This window comes from Homo sapiens, chromosome 5, assembly GCF_000001405.40.
Source record: "Homo sapiens chromosome 5, GRCh38.p14 Primary Assembly".
Classification (NCBI taxonomy): Eukaryota; Metazoa; Chordata; class Mammalia; order Primates; family Hominidae; genus Homo; species Homo sapiens.
Window position 1 is genome coordinate 175,692,460 of NC_000005.10, and position 20,035 is coordinate 175,712,494.

The 20,035-nt window shown below is 48.7% G+C and overlaps 1 protein-coding gene, 1 long non-coding RNA gene and 1 pseudogene across 11 annotated transcripts in view, besides 2 other annotated features; 2 read left to right on the top strand and 1 right to left on the bottom strand.

Annotated features, from left to right (window-relative positions):
• Positions 1-18,297, top strand: part of HRH2 (histamine receptor H2) — a 52,686-nt gene extending 34,389 nt beyond the window's left edge. For all 6 annotated transcript variants that reach the window (NR_160284.1, NR_171689.1, NM_001393461.1 and 3 more), the window contains one exon: positions 15,320-18,297. Coding sequence is in view for 4 of the 6 variants with exons in the window: in NM_001393461.1 (NP_001380390.1) it covers positions 15,320-15,512 (193 nt within the window). In the remaining 2 variants the exon portion in view is untranslated. The remainder of the gene's footprint in view (positions 1-15,319) is intronic.
• Positions 117-5,430, bottom strand: LOC105377743 (uncharacterized). Of its 5 annotated transcripts, none has more exons than XR_007059062.1 (4): positions 3,987-4,094; positions 2,726-2,873; positions 2,126-2,163; positions 117-1,588 (listed from the first exon to the last, which is right to left on the bottom strand). It is a non-coding gene; the product is annotated as an uncharacterized LOC105377743 (long non-coding RNA). The 5 variants fall into 5 exon arrangements; XR_007059064.1 differs by having other exon boundaries at positions 974-1,174; positions 1,445-1,588; positions 2,561-5,430; XR_941267.3 differs by having other exon boundaries at positions 2,726-5,430.
• Positions 4,127-4,421: an enhancer, noted in NCBI's record as "tiled region #12912; HepG2 Activating non-DNase unmatched - State 13:Ctcf, and K562 Activating DNase matched - State 8:EnhW". NCBI's record gives its function as "activates a minimal TATA promoter and a strong SV40 promoter by Sharpr-MPRA in HepG2 and K562 cells {active_cell/tissue: HepG2 | K562}" and the evidence as "EXISTENCE:reporter gene assay evidence [ECO:0000049][PMID:27701403]".
• Positions 6,059-6,956: an enhancer, noted in NCBI's record as "H3K27ac-H3K4me1 hESC enhancer chr5:175125521-175126418 (GRCh37/hg19 assembly coordinates)". NCBI's record gives its function as "activates a minimal SCP1, AML or CMV promoter by ChIP-STARR-seq in primed H9 embryonic stem cells {active_cell/tissue: H9 hESC(primed)}" and the evidence as "EXISTENCE:reporter gene assay evidence [ECO:0000049][PMID:30033119]".
• On the top strand, positions 11,439-11,545 carry RNU6-226P (RNA, U6 small nuclear 226, pseudogene; annotated as a pseudogene).
• Positions 18,298-20,035: the final 1,738 nt, after the last annotated feature.

Sequence of the window (20,035 nt, forward strand, 5' to 3'; positions counted from 1 at the left end):
TTGCCCTCTCTGAGCCTCAGCTTGCTCATCTGCAAAATGGGGATAAAAATGCCTCCCTGAGAGAATTAGGATAAGATTTAGCACCGATTTATGCAAAGTGCCTGGCACAGAGCAAATGCTTAGTAAGTGGCAGCCTTTATTTATTTTTTTTCCCCATGGCCCATTTGCCAAGGAGCAGCTGGAAAGTTCAGGGCAGGCTCTGTGGATTTATGTCTCAGCTGTGCTACTGAATTGTTCCAGGGGGGTCCTGACCCTAAGCCTGGTGCCCCCCATCTGAAAACGGGAGACTTGGATCGGTGTCCGGGGACCATTCCAATACTAACTATATATAAATACTTAACAACGGAGAGAGCGTGCCAACCCCCCAACTGTGTTGTGTCAAGAATCTTCTGGCAAGGGTGGTGAGGAACGTGTTTTTTATACTAATGAGTCGCTCAAAGTGTGGAGGCAAATTCGGTAAAGCGTGTCCGTGTCACGACTTGAGTTGCCAGTCCAGGAGCCAGGGGCAGGTGAGGGTGCAGGCTGGGCATAGGGCGGGACTGCAGAGAGAGCCCCAGCCATGGGGAGAGGAGACCAGACCAGACTTTCTCATTCCCCTGCCACAGATTGGCTGTGTGAGCTTGGAGAGATCGCATCCCTCTCTGAGTCCCAATTTCCCCATCTGTAAAAGAGAGCTAAGAATTCTGGCAGTTGTCCCTGTCCCTGAAGCAGCAGTGGTGAGTCACAGGGCTCCCTGTTTTGGGGGCTTCATTACGCTCGCAGTGGCTGTTTGTGGCAGAGCATTCAGAGGGTGGAAGGGGGTGTGCCTGCATTGCAGGGTGTGCACAGCCCTTGAGGCTCTCCTGGGGCATAAGGACCATTCCCTCCCCACCCTGCCTGGAGACAGGAAGTCGAGGTGGTCCCGACTGCCAAAAACTGGCACGTGGTGCTAGACAACCATCAGTGTGCCTGCTTCTCCTGTCTCTGATCCATGTAGAAATTTGCAGAAAGTAGCGAGGGCCTCACAGACGGGACGTCGCAGGTCCATGGAGGACACTCAGTCCCTCCTCACGTGAGGACTGACCACATCCCTTTGTTACCCAGGGTGGGTGGACTGGCTGTCCCCAGTGCCCAGAGGATTCAAGGAACTTCTCCTTCTCATGCTGAATCTGGAGACGTAGAGTTTTAAAACTTACTGTGAAAATGGAAGATAAAATGGAAAGTCATAGAGAACCCCATGTCTGTTGCCATCCTTCCTATTCCCTGAAGTCACAGCTCTGTGCTCCCTTCCCATCTTGGTCCGGGTGCAGACATGGCCTTAATGTCATGGTGGTAAGAGGATGCACATGCTCTTGTTCTGCCCCGCTTTTGTTCCACCTGGTGTTCGTTCCTGAACAGGCTGCACATCTCTCCCTTTTGTGGCTGCTGAGTTTCCTGCCGTCTCCCCCATTCACTCATCCCTTACCAGACACTCTCGCAAGCTGGGAAGCTATTTGTGACATGGCAGTGGTCTGTTGCCAGAGCTCTGAAGGCTGACCTCCCCAATTTGCTGGCTGGCTGACCTGGAGCGAGTGACTTCCTCTCTCTCAAACTCTTGTGTCTTCTTCATCTGAAAAATGGGGCTGATCATTCCAGGGCCTCCCTCCCAGGGCTGGGGAAGGACCAATTGAGTGAGTGCCCTTGCCCCAGGAGTGGAGCTTGGCGCACACACCTGGCTGTGCCCAGGTGTAAGATACTTTGTTTTATTCTGCTCCGGGACCTCATAGGCCACCACTTCACAGATGATGGAAAAACTTAAATTTTCCAGGTCAGGGAGCTCAGCCACTTCCAGTAGTAAACATGGTGGCTTTGGAAGCGGCATGCAGTCCGCACAGGCTTCTCTCCCCTCCCCACCTGCATCCCCCCAGTGTAAGTCCCCGGAGGCTGTCTGGCCCCAGTGGCATTCTCTGGGCCACTCCAGACCTGTCTTGTCAGCTTCTCTATCCATGGCACCTGCGTGGACATAGTCGGCCGGCTCCTGGGCTCTCCCTGGCCCTATCCAAAGCCAGCTACATCCCCCTGCAGGCCTTGACCTCTGCTATGGGCCCCCACCCCTAGGACACCCTAGCAGGCAGTCCTCAAGGCTCAGCCATGTGCTCAGGCTCACCGTAGGCTCTGCGAGATTTTGACGATCTCCTGCAGCCCCTGTGGAGGAGAGGGAAGAGGAACTGGGGTGCAGCATGAGGCCTCCTAGCTGCTATTTCTGTTTCCCTACAGGGGCCCCTTCCTCTGAGACAGCCTTGTTCTGAGCCTCTGGATGGGAAGTGGAGCATAGCCTCTGTGCTTTCAGACCCCCCAAACTCACCTTCCAGTGACCCCAGCTCCTCTGCAATCTGGGTTTTCACCCAACAGGAGAGTGTTGGGGGTAGGAAGCAGGGCCCAGCCTAGCATCTGACTCAGCCTACCACCCCACTCCTCAGGTGGTGCCACCTCCGCCCTGGGTGGTGGGGAACGGCTCACGGGGGCTCTTGCAAACCTAATGCACATTGACACTCTCTCCACCGTTTCTGTTTGGGACTTCAGAAATTGTCTCTGCCCTCACCTGCCATTGCTGCCTGAGTGGCGGGGCCCGTGCCGATGACACAGACAAGCCAGGGCCAGGAGCCATGCAGTCTTCTGGACTTTGCATTGCAAAGTCCAGCCCAGCCTGCCCCACCTGACAGGCATCTCATGCTGCCCAGCACGTTGACCCTCTCCCAACAACTACCTGGTAATTGTGACTGCTGACCATCGCCGCCCTGGTAACGGTTGAGGCTGGTAGAGTCAGACTTCAGGGAGCTGGCTGACCTTGGGCACGCTGATTAACCTTGCCAAGCCTCGGTTTCTTCACTTGTCAAAGGGGATGTTACTAGTACCTGTTTCAAAAAGTTGTTACAAGGATTAAAGGAGCGAATAATATAGAGGCTGGAGAACAGTGTCCGGCACCCAGTGAGCCCCAGAGGTCACCAGCTCGCGCAGGAGTAGGTAGGAGAAAACCCTTCCCTATTGTTGCATCTGGCTGTTGTCTCCTCTTCACCCTATGATAAACATCTTCATGCAGGGAACACTTTGTTTCTTTCAGATTATTTCCCTAGAAACGGAATTTCTGGAAACAGTTACTGGCTAAAGGGGAGGGGTATATGAAGCCTTGTGCTACACTTCCCCTCACTGTTTTCTAGACAGGCTGTGGGGGCCTCCCTGCTGCCAGCGACATCGGAAGGTTATTAGTTCCTCGAACCCACATCAGCAAGAGGGCCCTAGAAGTGCTGCGGGGGCAGCAAACTAAGGCAGAGGGTGTAGACCTCAAGGAGAAGGGGCCACCAGCATTTAAGGATGGGCCAGGGAACAGGGAAGAGGGGAGAGGAGTCTTCGAAGGGGCTGAGGAGGAACCATCTGAGAGGTGCCCAGGTCCAAGGCCTGAGCCAGTCAGAGGCTACAGAGCCAGTAAAGGTCTCAAACCAAAGAAACTGGCACGGCGATTCAGGGGCTACACCCAAGACACAGCGCTCAACAGCCCAGGTGATTCCCAGCTCTGCCAGGCACTGCTAAATGCCCAGGGGCAAACAGCAGGCCTCTTTGAACCTCAGTTTCCCCATCTATGAAATGGGCATGACACTTTGCCTGCCTCACAGGGCTGGGATGTAATGAGGGATGGTGACTGACATTGAGAATCACCTGTGTGTGAGCCACCGTTGGCATGAGTGGGCAGGGGCCTGGGAGTTTCCTTCAGTTTGAAAAAAACATTTCACAGTTTTAAGGAGAGGGTACGTCAAGTCAGCCCATCTCAAAGTGGCAGTTATTGAAAAGTTCGAGCAGCAGGGCAGGGTGAACACAGTCCAGGACTTGGGAGACCTGAGTGTGACCCCGATTCTGGAGCAGTGTGGGCCAACTCTGGGCCCCCTCTGAGCTCCGCCTTGTGCCTTATAAGGCAGGGAGCCCCCCACTTTGCCGTGGGGCCACCCTGGACTTCTCAAGGCTCCACAACTCACTGTGAGTCCCGGGCAAGTGACTGAAGTTCTTTGGGCCAAGACTCCCTCACATCTGTTAGAGAGAAGAACAGGATAAATATCTGTCATATCGATCATGTGGAGGTTGTAAAAGTTAAGTGACAGTGTGGATGTTAAGGGCCTCCTCCATGCACACTCTTGCGGTTTTATTGCCAGCAATCCTAGGTCAGCAGCAGGAAGTGGATGGCAGGGAGGTGGGGGAGGGGCTCCGCAGGAAGTAGGGCTCCCACAACTTTGCTTCTTCCGTGGGACCTGCTGCAACACACTCAGCGCCGCCTACTGGCCGTGTGGCCCCCTTGCTGGCTCTTCTAACCTCTCCTTGCCTTAACTTCCCCTTCTATAAGACGGGGAGAATCTCAGCACCGCCCCATGGGGTTGGGGTGAGAAGGAACTGAGTTAAGACATAGAAAATGCTAGAGCCGGGCCGCAGTGCAGCAGGAGCTCAGCGGATGGTGGCCTCCCGTGGTAGCTCTTAGGGCTCAGCACAGGGTTTGCACCTAGCGGAGGTGGCAGGATCCCGGTCTCCCTGCTCACCAGCTGTGTGACCTCGGTCAGGGCGCTCAACCCCAGGGAAGGCCAGTCCCCTCTTCTGTTAAGTCCCCCGCTGGCATGACTGCTGGTGGGGGTGAGGGGTCCCAGGCTGAGCACACACTACATGCTCAAAGACAGTGCTGAGTCACACATTTCGCCTGAAGTTTTACCTTTAAAGAGGATGCCCGGCCGGGCGCGGTGGCTCACGCCTGTAATCCCAGCACTTTGGCAGGCCGAGGCGGGCGGATCACGAGGTCAGGAGATCGAGACCATCCTGGCTAACACGGTGAAACCCCGTCTCTACTAAAAATACAAAAAATTAGCCGGGCGTGGTGGTGGGCGCCTGTAATCCCAGCTACTCGGGAGGCTGAGGCAGGAGAATGGCATGAACCCAAGAGGCGGAGCTTGCAGTGAGCCGGGATAGCGCCACTGCAGTCCAGCTTGGGCGAAAGAGTGAGACTCCGTCTCAAAAAAAAAAAAAAAAAAGAGGATGCCCATGAAAATTGCCCAGACCCACCCCCTGCAGCCTCATCTCTCCCAGCAGTGAGTGAATATGCCTTGCCAGAGAGGCAAGCTCCCTTCCCCATTCCCCCGCTGGGGTATTCACCACCCCACACAGTCACAGAATTTGAAGAAGAGCTGTCCGGGTCACAGACTTAGTCCAGTCGTTGTTCAATTCCTGACACTCCCCTGCTCTACAGCCTTCAGTAGCTCCCCGGTGCCTGCCAGATCACATACAAATTCCTCAATCAAGACCTTCATACTCCGACTACAGAATCCCTTTCTGCCTTTCTCATCTCTTCAGCCCCATACTTCTTCCTCTTCAGCTGAGATAGGCCATTCCCTGTTCTCAGAGCATATCCCACAGCTCAGGCTGCTCTCTGCCTGAAGAGCCTTGTCCACCTCCCCAAACACCCCTCATGGCAACAGGCCCAACTCAAATGCCACCTGCTCCATGGAGCCTCTTGTGAACTCCAGAGCCAGAAATGGCCATACAATCTTGCTGGTGCATGCCCACCCACACTCACAGGCAACACACCCATGCACACTCAGGCACTGGAGCGCACACACGCTCTTGCGTGCAAGCAGACCTGCCCCTGTGTGTAGTTTACACCTGTGCATACACTGGCACACCGACCTGCACACGCTCGCTTACAGGCTCACGTTATGCACACATGCAGTTTTGTTTTTACACTGCAGCAATTAACCCAAACATTTTATCACCCTTAAGTTGCTGGAGACCAGCAGCCCTGCCCAGATCATCTCCGTATCCCTCGTATTATCCGTCTGTGCCGTTTCGCCTAATCCATTTAGTCTGCCCCACAGGAAGCAGCATGTCACAGTGGGAGAGAATCATGCTTTGAAGTTGGATAGCCCTGGGTTCAGATTTGAGCGTTGCTACTGTGTGACCTGGGGCAGCTCTTACCTGCGTGGAGCCTCACGTTCATGGTCTGTTAAACGCACACACTTGTTCTCGCTTTATCGTGCCATTGAGACAGTTAAACAGAAAAAAAGATGCAAAACACCCAGCTCAGGCCCCAGAACACGAGCACTTAGTAAATGCTACTTCTTGCCAGTCGCTTATTCATTCACCAGCAAATCCAGGGATCCTGCTAGAGTCAAAGCCAACCCCCTCCGTCTCGCAGCCTCCCGGTCAGGTCCGAGGCTATAGCTCATGAGTGTTCAGGGATATGTGTCCCAGGAGCTCCCTTATCAAAATTCCCTTTATGGGCCTAAAGCTCCCAGACCCACACTTTCCCTTTGTCATGGAAAAAATGTAAAAGGGGTTAAGGCCTGTGACTGACAACTGTTGATCTCAAGTAAGTCCCACGGGGTTCATTTCACCTCATTGGGTGCAAAAGCGAACCCAGAGTGTTTGCAAAGCCCTTGCTGGGAGTCTCCCCGGCCTGCTCAGCAACCTGCTCACGCTGCCTGTTAGCGCAGGATGAAGTGAGCCCTGCCTTGAAGGGACATCCCTGCCATTCGCACTGCCCCTCAGTCTCTTTCAAAGCAGATCCTGGGCCAGGCAAACCCTCTGTGCTTACTTCCAGAAAACCAGGAGAAGGCCGTGAGAAAAGAATTCCTTTCATGGGCAGAGGGCTGAAGTGTGGGGAGAAGGCCGTGAGAAAAGAATTCCTTTCATGGGCAGAGGGCTGAAGTGTGGTCATTTGGGCATATTGGGTAATGTTGGTTTGTGGCAGAAAACAAGGGGGAATGAAAAGAACACTGTGATTGGTCTCCAGGTGACTTTCTGTCCTGAAATTTCCACCATGGCGTATTTTAAAACAACCAAAAAATAAGTATGGCCTAGAGAAAAGGGTCGCCTCCAATTTTAGCAATAGCCTAAGGCAATGAGAAAGACCCCTGTGAGGTGGGTTGTGGCTGGCCCCAAGGGCAGGAGCCATCCCCTCTCCTCCCCAACCTCCTCCGCTTCCATTTCCTCTTAAAGGAGAGACCTGCCAGTTCCCAGGATGCAGGTGAAACTGACGCTCTCAGTCTGGGGTTTCTTGTGTGTTGTTCAGTACAGGATCAGCCCAGAGCCTCAGCACCCAGTCCCTCTGCTGTCGGTTGTTTTTGTTTTGTTTGTTTGTTTGTTTGAGACAGAGTCTCACTCTGTTGCCCAGGCTGGAGTGCAGTGGCGTGACCTCGGCTCACTGCAAGCTCCGCCTCCTGGGTTCACGCCATTCTCCTGCCTCAGCCTCCCGAGTAGCTGGGACTACAGGCGCCCACCACCACGCCCGGCTAATTTTTTGTATGTTTAGTAGAGACAGGGTTTCACCGTGTTAGCCGGAATGGTCTTGATCTCCTGACCTCGTGATCCGCCCGCCTCAGCCTCCCAAAGTGCTGGGATTAGAGGCGTGATCTACTGTCAGCTTTTAGGGACCCTCAGGGACAAAGCATTTACAAAGGAGGAGAAAGAGAAGGAGGATTCCCTGAAATTTCAAAACATTCCACTTCTCCCATCTCATCTCATGGCTCTGACAGCCTCTTCTTCAGGACTGTCCCTGTTGTACAGATGTGGAGAGGGACTGAAGAATGGAGAGAGACGGAGTTGTGTGAGACCCAGCAGCAGGGGATGAGGAAGGCTCAGACAGAACGCGGAACTCCTGGTTCCGAATCTCACACCTCCTCCTATTCACTCCTAGCATGCAGTTGCTGCTCAGATATTTGTTGAAGTGGTAAACCTCCCTCACTGTCTCCCTCAAGGGTTCCTGCCCACAAGGCTCTTACAGGCTGGCGGTGAGAAGGTAGATGGTGAAATAAAGCCAGAAAGTGGGTACCGGCTACCGGAGACAGCCGGGGAGAAGCTGGACTGCCTCTGACCATCTGTGAATTTGGGAAGTTAGAAGACAGGAGAATCACTATCCAAAACACACATGAACACCTACTATAAACTTGGACAAGGTAGATGATGAAAGATCCAATGCCTGCCTTTATGACACTCCTGTTTAGTCCAGGAGACAGACAAGTAAGCTGACACCTAACCCAGGGACATAAGTGCCTCGGCAAAGGGGCTGCAGGAGCCAGGAGGGAACCAGTAATTCTGGGAGACCTCAGAGACAGCTGCCCAGAGGAGATGATACTGAACAGAATATTGAAACAGGAGAAATTGGCCTGGCACAGTGGCTCAAGCCTGTAATCCCAGCACCTTGGGAGGCCGAGGCAGACAGATCACAAGGTCAGTTCGAGACCAGCCTGACCAACATGGTGAAACCACGTCTCTACTAAAAATAATAAAAAAAATTAGCCAGGCATGGTGGCATGCACCTGTAATCCCAGCTACTCAGGAGGCTGAGGGAAGAGAATTGCTTGAACCCGGGAGGCGAAGGTTGCAGTGAGCTGAGATCGTGCCACTGCACTCCAGCCTGGGCGACAGAGCAAGACTCTGTCTCAAAAAAAAGAAAAGAAAAGAAAAACAGGATAAATTGACCAGCAAAGAAGAAAATACAGGAATTTAAAGCAGTGGGAATAACAAAAATCTGTGCAAAAGCACAGATGCAAGAAATAGCAGGATAACACATACAGATGGTGGTTCTGTCTGATCACTTGTAGGATAAGCAGTGGAGGGAAATGGGAAGGGGCACTGGCATTCATCATCCATTGTCCTCACATTAGCCCTGTGAGGTCGTTATTATTAACTCATTTCACAGATGAGGAAACCGAGGCTCAGAGCGGGGCTGAGCAAAGCTACCCAAGCAGCTCTGAAACTGGGTCCTGTCCCCTGGTGGCTGAACATATTATAACACGGTCCATGTAAAAACACGGGAGTCAGATTCAAATGACATTTATTTAGGAATATGATTAGTCTGAGCTCTCTTAACTGCAAGGAGCAGAAACCCAGTTAAAAGAGGATGGGGTTTGGGAGATAGGTAACTGACTCATAGAACTGAAGAGACTAAGAGTAGCTTCAAGCATGGTCGGACCCAAGGGCTCAAATGTCCTCAGGAATTTGTCTTTCTCCAACTTTCAACTCGGCTTCCCGCTCGGATTGCCGCTGTAATCCTCAGCCGGAGTCTTCCCATAGAGCCACCAGCAGGTCCAAGCTTCTATCTTAACATCTTTGCAGACCCAAGGGAAAAGTATGTCCCTTTCCTACTATTCTAACAAAAAGCTCCAGGCTTTGGTTTCATTGGATTGGGTCATGTGTCTATCCCTCAACCAACTGTCACGTGCCCAACCCTGAAGCCAGGGCAAAGGGAAATAGGTCAACTCCACCTAATCTACAAGGACAAAAAGTGGGGAAGGTCGAATTCTGAAGAAGAATCAAGGTGCTGTTAGCATGAGAAGGGGAACTGAGGATGGAAATGTGAAAACGAGGTGTTTCTCACAAACACTTACTGCTCGGCAGATATCGCGTTATACACACCTAGAACCCCGTTAACATCCGCTAAAATAGCTTCCAGTGTTCTGGCTCAGGGCAAAGACGGGCCGTGGGACCGTGAAGGGGGTTGAAGAAGATTAAACCTACTAGAATCTCTGCAAGTGGTAGGTTGGTGCAAAAGTAATTGCGGTTTTTGCCATTAAGGGTAATCTGTACTAGAGTCTACACAGCATGGGAATCCCAGCTTGGTGTCTCATCCCAGCTTATGCACGGCATGGGGGGCAAGTAAGAGAGAGAGGGGCTCCTGCCACTGGGCTTTTTAAAGCTAAATATGCATGTCAAAATGCCTCGGATAATCACTTAAAATACAGAAGGTAGAGATTCCATATGGTATGGAGGAAAGAGAATGAGAAAAAGAAATCAACTTAAAACAAGAAAAGAGGAGGAAAATTTAGAAAAAAATGGGACAAATTTAAAGCACAAAAACAGATGGAAGAAATGAATGAAAATAAATCAGTAATTACAGTGAATATAAATGGAATAAATTGGCCAATTAAAAAAATACAAAGATTGTCAGGCTTGGTTTTTTAAATCCAAACAAATGTTTTTACAAGAGACTTAAAATATAAAGAACATAATTTTTGAAAGCATAGGAAGGAAAAAAAAGATATACTCAGCAAATACTAACTGAAAGAAATCTGAGTAGCTATAAGCAAAAAGTATACCATCTTTTTTTTTTTTTTTTTTTTTTTTGAGACGGAGTCTCACTCTGCCGCCCAGGCTGGAGTGCAGTGACGCGATCTCGGCTCACTGAAAGCTCCGCCTCCCAAGATCACGCCATTCTCCTGCCTCAACCTCCTGAGTAGCTAGGACTGCAGGCACCCGCCACCACGCCTGGCTAATTTTTTCTTTTTTTTTTTTTTTTGTATTTTTAGTAGAGATGGGGTTTCACCATGTTAGCCAGGATGGTCTGGATCTCCTGACCTCAGATCCGCCCACCTCGGCCTCCCAAAGTGCTGGGATTACAGGCGTGAGCCACTGTGCCCAACCAAATATACCATCTTTAAAGATAAATATGATCACCATATTTTGATAAACAGTTCAGTTCACCAGAAAGATAAATTTTAAATTTGTATGTACCAAATAACCCTGCTTCAAAAATATGTAAAGTTGACAGAACTACAAAGAGAAATTAACAAATAATCATTACAGCAGAAAATGTATAATATACCTCTATCAAAATTTAAAGACTAAGCATGTAAAAAATTAGTAATTAATATTTGGGAAACACAAAGCGCTTAGGACACTGTCACTAATAACTAGAGAGTACCTATTCCTTTCAGGCACACATGGAATATTTAAAAAGCTGGCCATGTGTTAGGTTAAGAAGTATGTATCAGCATATTTCAAGGCACTGAATATGCTTCATACAGAACAATTATCTGACTACAACAAAATTAAATCATAACAAAACTCTTACATAGTTGTAAACATTTTTTAATAGATCATGGGATGAAGAAAAAGTAATTATGGATATTAGAAAACATTTTAAAGTAAACGACAATGAAAATACTGCACATCAAAGCTTATAGGATGCCACTAAAACGCTACTCAAAAGGAAATATATAGCCATAATGGCTCATATTTTTAAAAGCAAATTTGAAATTTAACGATTTAAACAGCCAATTTAGGAAGTTAAAAAGAACAACAAAATAAACTCAAAGATAATTAAAGAAAGGAAACAGTAGAGACAAAGGAAGAAATTAATGAAACAGAAGACAAAGATTTAATAATGAGAAGAGCAACAAAACCAAACTTTAGTACTTTAAAGAGTTCTGGCAAAACTTGTTAAGATAACAGAATAAAAAACATAAGTAAAGACTATGAATAATAAAGGGGAGATATTAATACAGATGTTGCAGAGATCAAAAAAGATAATAAGAACATTATGATCAATTTTATGCCCAAAACAAGAAAAAACTAAGGTGAAGTGAATAAGTAAACAGAACTTGCCAAAACTGACTTGGGAAGAAATAGAAAACCTGAATTGCCATATAACCATTAAAAATAAATAAAATGGCAGGCTCACTTTGGCAGCTCATACACTAAAACTGGAGCCATACAGAAAAGATTAGCATGGCTCCTGTGCAAGTATGACATGCAAATTCATGAGAATTCCATATTTTAAAAATAAATACATAATATGAATAAAACACCAATAGTATTTGGTTTTGCAAATGAGTTCTACCAGACACTCAAAGAAAAGAGATCACTGTGCAGTCCTATATAAACTCTCTCAGAGGAGAGAAAAAGAGAGAAACTCTCCTATTTATTTTATGAGAGCAGATTCAAAAATAAGTATCAAAAAGGAAATTACAAGCTAATCAGAAACATGAACATACTTACAAAAATTTCAGAGCATTAGAAAACATAATCATGCAATATTTTAAAAGAAAAATATAATTCCTCATGACCAAGTTAGATTTATACAGAAATAGAAGGTTGCTTTAATATTAGAAATGTTACTAATGTAATTCAGCTCATCAACAAATTAAAGAAGAAAAAACTCTGTGAATATTATATCAATCGAAGCAGAAAAAAAAACACTGAGTAAGTTTAAGCATTTATTCACGATTTGAAACACAAAACAAAATCTCTGAGCACATTCTGAATGGAAGGAAACTTCCTTAACCTGAGGAAACACTAACAAACCACTTCTAAAATAAGGAGCAGAGCTGGCCATCACACTTCTATTCAACATATTACCGGAGATCAGTCCAGTAAGACAAGAAAAATAAATTTAAAAAAATAAGGGGGAGAAAACAAAACTATTACTATTCACAGCTAATAACCATCCTCTATACAGAAACCAAAAAGTATCTACAAATTGTTGTCATGAATGAGAAAGTTGAGCAGCATTGCCAGACATAAAATCAACGTACATTGTCAACTTTTGAAAACTACCACTTATAAGAACAATCAGAAAATTAGACATTGAAGAAGAGCTAAATAAATCTTTCAATGATTATATACTTTTCTTCATAAAAATCTAGTATGTCTTTTGTTAGATGAGTACCTGGGTGCCTTGTGATTTTGGTTGTTGTTGTAAGTGTGGTATCCTTTTATAAATTGCATTTTCTTGCTACCTCTTTCTGATACATAGAGAATTGGACTCCATATGTGCAACTGAATTTTGTATACTGATCTTATGTGCAATACCCTTGTTATACCCTAACATTAATTCAAATGACTCATAGATCCTGGAGGAAAAGACTCAATATTATAAAGATGTTTCTCCTTGCCAAATTAATCTGTATGTTCAGAACAATTCCCATTAATCCAAACAGTGTTCTCATAGAAATGGACAAGCTGATTCTAAAATCTGTATGGTTGAGAATAGGCTCAGGAATAGCCAAGTCTTTTCCAAACAGGAAAAAATAAGATATAGCAATTAAGTCCTTGGTGGTAATGCTGCAAGAATAGACAAATAGACCAGTGGAAAAGGATAGAGAATTCAACTAGCACTCAAATACCTATACACCGGGGGACAGGTCCAGTGAAGTCCTAAGCAGCATTTCTTGTAATGGTAAAAAACTCGAAACAATCCAGATGTCCTTCAACAGATAAATGCATAAATAAATTGAAGTCTATTCATACAATGAAATACCTTTTTTTAAAAAATTATGGCACATTTTAAACATATACATAGTAAGGCTCCCTGAACCCCTCACACAGATGTAAATAGTTATCAACTTATGCCCAATCTTTTGTTTGTTTGTGTGTTTGTTTTTTAACTGCTTCTTATGGAGCAGGACTACCTACCCCTACAGGTAGTGTGCCCAGAGTAGACTTTTTTTTTTTTTTGAGACAGGGTCTCACTTTGTCCCCCAGGCTGGAGTGCAGTGGCACAATCTCAGCTCACTGCAGCCTCAGCCTCCCAGGTTCAAGCGATCCTCCTGCTTCAGCCTCCCAAGTAGCTGGGACTATAGGTGCATGCCACCAGGCCCGGCTAATTTTTGTATTTTTTTTGTAAAGACAAGGTTTCACCATGTTGCCCAGGTTTTGCCATGTTGCCCAGTCTGGTCTCAAACTCCTGAGCTCAAGTGATCGGCCTGCCTTGGCCTCCCGAAGTGCTAGGATTACAGGCATGAACCACTGCTCCTGGCCCTGAAGTACTTTAAAACTGTGAAAATGAGCTACAGCTATACCTATCAACAATATAATGTTAAACAATAACAAAAGGTTAGCTACAGAGAAAAGATCATAAAACACGATTTTATATACCTACAAGTGAAATACAGGTAGAACAACACGATAGATTGTTTAGGGATACAGAAATATTTGCTGAAAGAAATCAGGGGCTGGAAAAGTTCAGTTTCCTAATCTGACAGGTGGTTCCACTGGTATGCTTTTCAATAGTCCTTAAGCCATGTATATGTGTTTTATATAGCGTCTCTTTGGATGCTTAATGCATTTCATTTAAAAATATTTAATGAGTAAATTGACATGTAACAAAGAGATATGACTGAATAGAGGAAGAATTGAGATGTTTATTTTCTTTTTAGTTAATCTCTATGGTCTGAATTTGTTACTATGAACATGCGGTATTTCCAAAATAGCATTATTTTTAGGGATTTTTAGGCCCCTTAGAAGAAGGGAGGTGGTTATTTCCTAGCCTAGAGCTAGCTGTTCTTTGATAATTTCACCGAGTGCAATGAGAGTTGCCTTCTCAGAGCCACAGGCTGCATCTGGAATGTTAATGCAAGGGCAAATACCTGCCTGCTTGGTCAAATATGTACACTGCTAACATGGTAAAGGACGCCCACAGGCTCTGAAATGCCAGAGGGATGACCTTGAGGCCCAGGTGCAGGTGGGGTGTTCAGGGAGGAAGGGCCACACCCAGGCCTTCTGCAATGGCCTGGCCGGCACATGCCCTCACATGGAAGGAAGCGCAGATGTCAGCTATGTCCTTGTTCACAAAGCTTTACAAAGTCAGGCCTCCAAACCCACAGCTATCATCAGGTGGACGCTAAAGGCATGACGGTTCCCTTCCCTCTCTCTATGTGGAAGGGGGAGGGAGCAGTACGCTTGATTCCCTTGGTGGCCGAGGTGTTCACAGCTGATTTGAATGCCAGATGGAGTAACTCAGACTTCTCCCAAACTTCTTCCCCAACTCGGGGCATGCTGCAGATGCTCAGGAATCATCTCACTAAGATTCGGAAATGGCACACTTTGACGGGGCTCCTACTACCAGACAGCCTGTGTGTGCTTACTTTTATATGTATTCTGTAACACTGAATTCTTTCAGGAGTAGGAAAAGTGAGGGCTGCAAGCAGTGGCTCATGCCTGTCATCCCAGCACTTTGGGAGGCCGAGGCAGGAGGATCACTTGAGCCCAGGAGTTCAAGACCAGCCCAGGAAACAGAGTGACAACCCACCTCTATAAAAAAGGCAATTTTAAAAAACTAGCCAGGCATAGTGGCACGCACCTATAGTGTCAGCTACTCGGGAGGCTGAGGTGGGAGGATCCCTTGAGCCCAGGAGTTAGAGGTTGCAGTGGGCTATGATCACGCCACTGCCCTCCAGCCTGGGCAACAGAACAAGACCCTGTCTCAAAAACCACAAACACAAAAACAAAACAAAAATCGTGAATTGGATATTTTTATCTTCATTTGAAGTCCAGAGACAGTAAGTAAATTGACCACAGGCACACAACATGTTAGAAACAGAGTTAGGATTTCAAAGCAAGTCTCCTGAATACTCCTTCTTGTGGGTTGAGGGAAGAAGTCTTTGTTGCCTATAGGCTGCTCTGGGTGGCAAAGGGCGGTTCCCCTCCCCTCCCCACCCCATCCCACCCTCCCCAGGCCCTGGCTTAGTAGAAGCAAAATTGAGAGGCTAAACCTGGTCTGCCCCCGCCTTGCTCTGTGGCCACCTCAGCCTGGCATGTGCTTGTGTCTCCTCAGGAAGCCAGCACTGTCCTGCACTACGTGCTCCAGCAACCTCCTGAGCTGCTGCAAGAGCCTGTGGGGGCTCAGGTTCCTTCAGAGACACATGGGAGGCCCCTCGGAGGAGCTATCGGGGGAGCCACTGTCTGAGGAGCCACAGAAGAGACCTCCCCAGAAAGCGGTGAGGACGCTGCCCTCTGAGGCTGTCTAGACCTAGCCCCAGGACACTGAAGATACCGCTCCCGGTCCCCAAGATGTGACTCCTGGAGCTCCTAAGGACCCAGTCTCCAAAGCCACCAAGGACTCACCCTGGACTGAATCTGGGGGCTCCCAGAACACACAGCTGGGTGTGGGGTCCTCAGGCCTAGGGCGGAACAGCCTATTCTGTGCTCAGCATTCCCAGACAGGCACGCAAGACTCCTCTGGGCCCGAGTGGGCTGAATCCCATGGGTTCAAAGCTCACGTTGGTGCTGGCCCTGGGAGTCATGAGCAGAGACGGTGGGACAGACGGGGATGCGTGCACATGTGTGTGCATGGGTGCATACGTGTAGGGACGTGCATGACCTCTGAGCAAGGCAGAGGGTATTGAAGAAAGCATTGGCCTCTCACTCCCTCATGGGTTCTGCAGGATGAAGGAAAGGAAAGGAAAAGACAGAGAAAGGAAGGAAATAGCTTTTCATGAGCACCTACTGTGTACCAGGTGCTTCCCTGGCATGAGCTCTCGTAACCCTTATAGCAACATGAGTTTAGAGCAAGAATCACACCCCGACTTTACAGAGATGGAAACTGAGGCTCAGAGAAGTAAGGGACCTGCCCAAGGCCACTCAGCACCTAGAAAGTGTGCCTAGCACATAGGAGGCACACAAAAATATGTGTTGAATGGGTGAATGAATGAGAGAACGGGTGAAAAGCCAGGCCTCAAGCCCACACTACTGACACTGCACTACACCACCTCTCAGGAGAGAAGGCAAATATTTCCTTGACTCAGCCACCTTCCTCCTAGCAAGGCTTAGACCCCCAGGCTCTGGGGGTCCCTTCCTGCTACAGTATGACCCTCTCTGGTGCTTGTCATCAAGAAGTGGTATGCGGTGGACTTGCTGGAGAGAGTGTCTGCAGCCAGGCATCATGGAGGGAGGGATGGATCTTGAGGGACTGTAATGGTTGTGAATGGGGGAGTTGGCCCCCAGCACTCTCTGGTGGCCGTATGACCTTGGGCACGTCTCCTGACCACTCTAAGCAGCTTTTGATTCCCCTGTCCAAGAGGGTAGGCCCCCTGTTCCTATTTACAGGATCCATAAAGAGACTCAAAGAGATAGGGTAGTGCCAGCCCCAGAGAGAGGGGGCTGTGGAGGGACTTCTACCCCCAGGGCTTCTCAGTGGCATCTCCTGGCTGGCCCCTGACACTCAATCTTCCTTGGTTTCCAAGATGCTTCATGATCTTCCCCCTCCCTGACATCCCCGACCTCCCTTTTCTGTCCCTTTTGCAACTCATTGTCCTCTACCTGCCATCAGATGTGGCTGTTCCTCAGTCTCAGTCCAGAGTCCTCTCTTCTCACTCAGCATCTCTCCTCCTGTGACCTCGTCTGCACCCACAACTCCAGTTACAAGGCACGAGGTTTGGTTATGAAATCACTCACAGATTTATAACTGCAGGCTTGGCTCCTTCCGGGAGCTTGAGACCCACTGCCGCCTCCGCAACACCTCCACCTGGGAGTTTCAGAGGCGCTCTCCCTCAGCGTGTCTGCAGCTGCGTGCCTGCAGCTGCGTGCCTGCCTTCTCCCTGCACCTGCTCTGCTCCCCAGGTCCCTTTCTCAGACCAAAGCCTGCCCGGGCTTCACAGGCTGAGGGTCCACCTTGCCACCTCCGTTTGCCTCAGTCCTCATGGAGCCCTGGCTCCACTGTCTGCTGGCTTCTCCCCATCTACTCTGTGTCACTCCATCCGACCACCATTGTCTCCATCAGGACAGTTGGAACACCTCTTCTCAGCACTCTCGCCCCCACCCAGTCCACCCCCTACCTGACAGCCAGAGTGGGCCATGCCAGATGCAACCCAGGTCATGCCACACAGGTAGATAAAACCATCTTCAGCCCAGCCCTCAGGCCCTGTGTGCTGGGACCCTGCTGGGCCCTCTCCAGCCTCCCCCTGCGCCAGGCCTCCTCCGTCACTTCACTCTGGCCCTGCTGTTCTTTTCCTTTTAGTTTGATTAACTCACTCTGCCCATTCCATGCTCAAAGCTGTTTCCGTGAGGAAAGGCTCCTCCTGCTCATTTTAGTGCCCTGAAATGTCACTTCCTTGAGGAAGTCTTCCTTGACCCTCCACACCAAACCAGGCCCCCTGCCACACCCCTCAGAGCTCTCCTTGGAAGGCACTGGCATGGCTGTTTGCGTGATTCCTTGAACGTTGTCTGTCTCTCCTCCTCACCAGGCTGTGGGTCCTGTCTGTTTCTGGTGACCGTTGTCTGTCTAACCCCTAGAGGAGAGTTTGTCACATGGTAGGAGCTTAATAAATATGTGTTGGATGAATGATCAGAGAAAAGAGAGTGCAGAGAGTGGCCAAAACAGATGCTTTCAGCAGTGTATCTGCCAATAAACCTAAAGGCATGATTTGCCCTGGTGATCCCCCCAGAGGTGCTTAGTCTCTTGGCTGAATTCCTTCTGGAATCCCCAGAATCCCCCTCCTTGGAAGTTTTCCCAGGAGTCTGAGGCAGGCAGGTCTCTCAGTCACGGCCACATGACCTCAAGTGAAAACAAACCAGTCTGGCTGTTCACAGACTCAGCTGGTCAGAGCTCTGGCCCGAGGGGCCCACGCACCACCCGCCACTGCAGAAGACGCCTCCACGTCTGTCTCTGGGCTGCCTCCACCTTCTGCAGGCCTCCTGGAGCCTCTGCTGGCTGCAGAAGTGGGGTGCATGCTGCCTGGAGGAGGAACATCTGTGGTGGGACCCCAAATCCATGTTTGTGTTACCATCGTGTTCCAATAAAACTATCGAAACAGATGCTGCCTCACGGTTTTATTTTTTAACTTCCTGGTGAGGAAATGCTTCCCAAACTTCATCATACGGTGTCTTGATTTAGAAAAAGAGTCATGATAAAATGCTGGGGTAAAGGCCAAATTAAAAATTGCCTCAAAAAGTAAAGACGTTTTCCAGAAGCTAGTTTCATCTTAAAGAGCCACACCAGAAATGAGGGAAGGGCTGGCTGATCAGAAGGACCTGGAGACCCAGGTAGTTGGGAGAAGCTTGGTAAGTGTTCCTGGAGTGGAATAATTCTGAAACTGTCAGATGCAAAGACACCTTTTTTACGTGGGAGAAACAGGTATCTTTAAAATAGAAAACTTGCCAATCAAACAAGCCCACAATAGAGAGTGGGTGGATGAGGCACAAGTAAAAACCAGGTCAAGAGAAAATGCATGGATTTTGTGCAAGGAATGAATCCCAGAGCTACCAACAAAAGGGTTTTGAGGAGGAAGGAAGGGGGCAGGCCGGAGTTGAGGATGATGTTTGATCACCGCAATGTCAGCCGTGAGCCGTGCTCCCTGGCATGGTAGGAGGAAGCTAGAGGTTGTGAAATTCTGAGCTTCCAACCCTCCAGAAGAACCCACTAAGACACACCTTGACAAATTTTCACAAGAAGCAGAGAAGAGATTGTGTGTAAATCAAAGCTTACAGGAACTGCTCGGCTGAAAATGAGTTTAATATATATTTCAGGGGAGAAAAGACAAAGCTGGAAGACTTGGGAAAGGTGAAGGTAGTAAATCGGGTTGGCAGATGATGCTAAGCAGTCCTGAACTGAACTGCTAACCCCTGAGCGACAGCCACGGGGGTGATGAATATCGGGGCTCTTTACAGTCAAGCAGCCAGGACTGGGGCCTGGGAACTACAACGTCCAGAATCCTGTGCCGGCAGGCTCAGATGCCACCAGTGGGAATCGGAGAAGCAAAAACTGTGATCGTTAACTAGGCAAAGGGGAATGGGGTTGCAGAGGGGGAAGGAGACCAGAGAGTCTTTGGGAAACTACTAAGACTAGGGGATGTGAGCCCCAAACAGGCCCCATGGGCAGACTGGAGGCTTGGCGACCACATCAGGAATTGTGTCTCCTCCCATGAGTCACGGGAAGGCTTTGAAAGGTTTTCAGCAGAGGGGGCTAAAATGATGCGGTCTGTGTTATGAAAAGAGTATTCAGGCTCCAGTGGAGAAAATAGATCAGGGGGAGGATCGGGGGCAGATCGTGAGTCCCCTGCAGCAGGTGGGGGTGGACAGGAACATTCTATGAGCATCTGCTCACTGCAGACCTCAAGCTACATCTGGGAACCCAAAGGAATCAAAGCTCGTGCCCACCTGAAAGATGGGCATGCACCAAAACGTTACAAGGGAATGAGGGAAGAAATGAGCTGTGTGGAAAGTGGGGTGGCTGCGGCTGGGAGGGAGGCGCAGTGCTCGAGTGTGGGAGGAAGTGGACCCAAGAGCCGTGAGGTTCTAGAGGAAAAGGCTCCTGAGTACCCTGGTTCGGGTGGTGTTTAAACCCAGTTTAGATGCAAGGTGGGTGAGTTGCTCGGTAGCCAGATTGAGGGATGGTTTGGAATCCCATCCCAGCTGAGCTGGGTGGGATGGAGAATCCCATTCTACTCACAGTGACTTTGCTGTGAGCCCCAGCAAAGCACCCGGAAATTCCCCGTGCTTGGTGTGGCCATCAAGACTACTGTCGAGGGAGAGTTCATCATCCGCATTGTCCAGA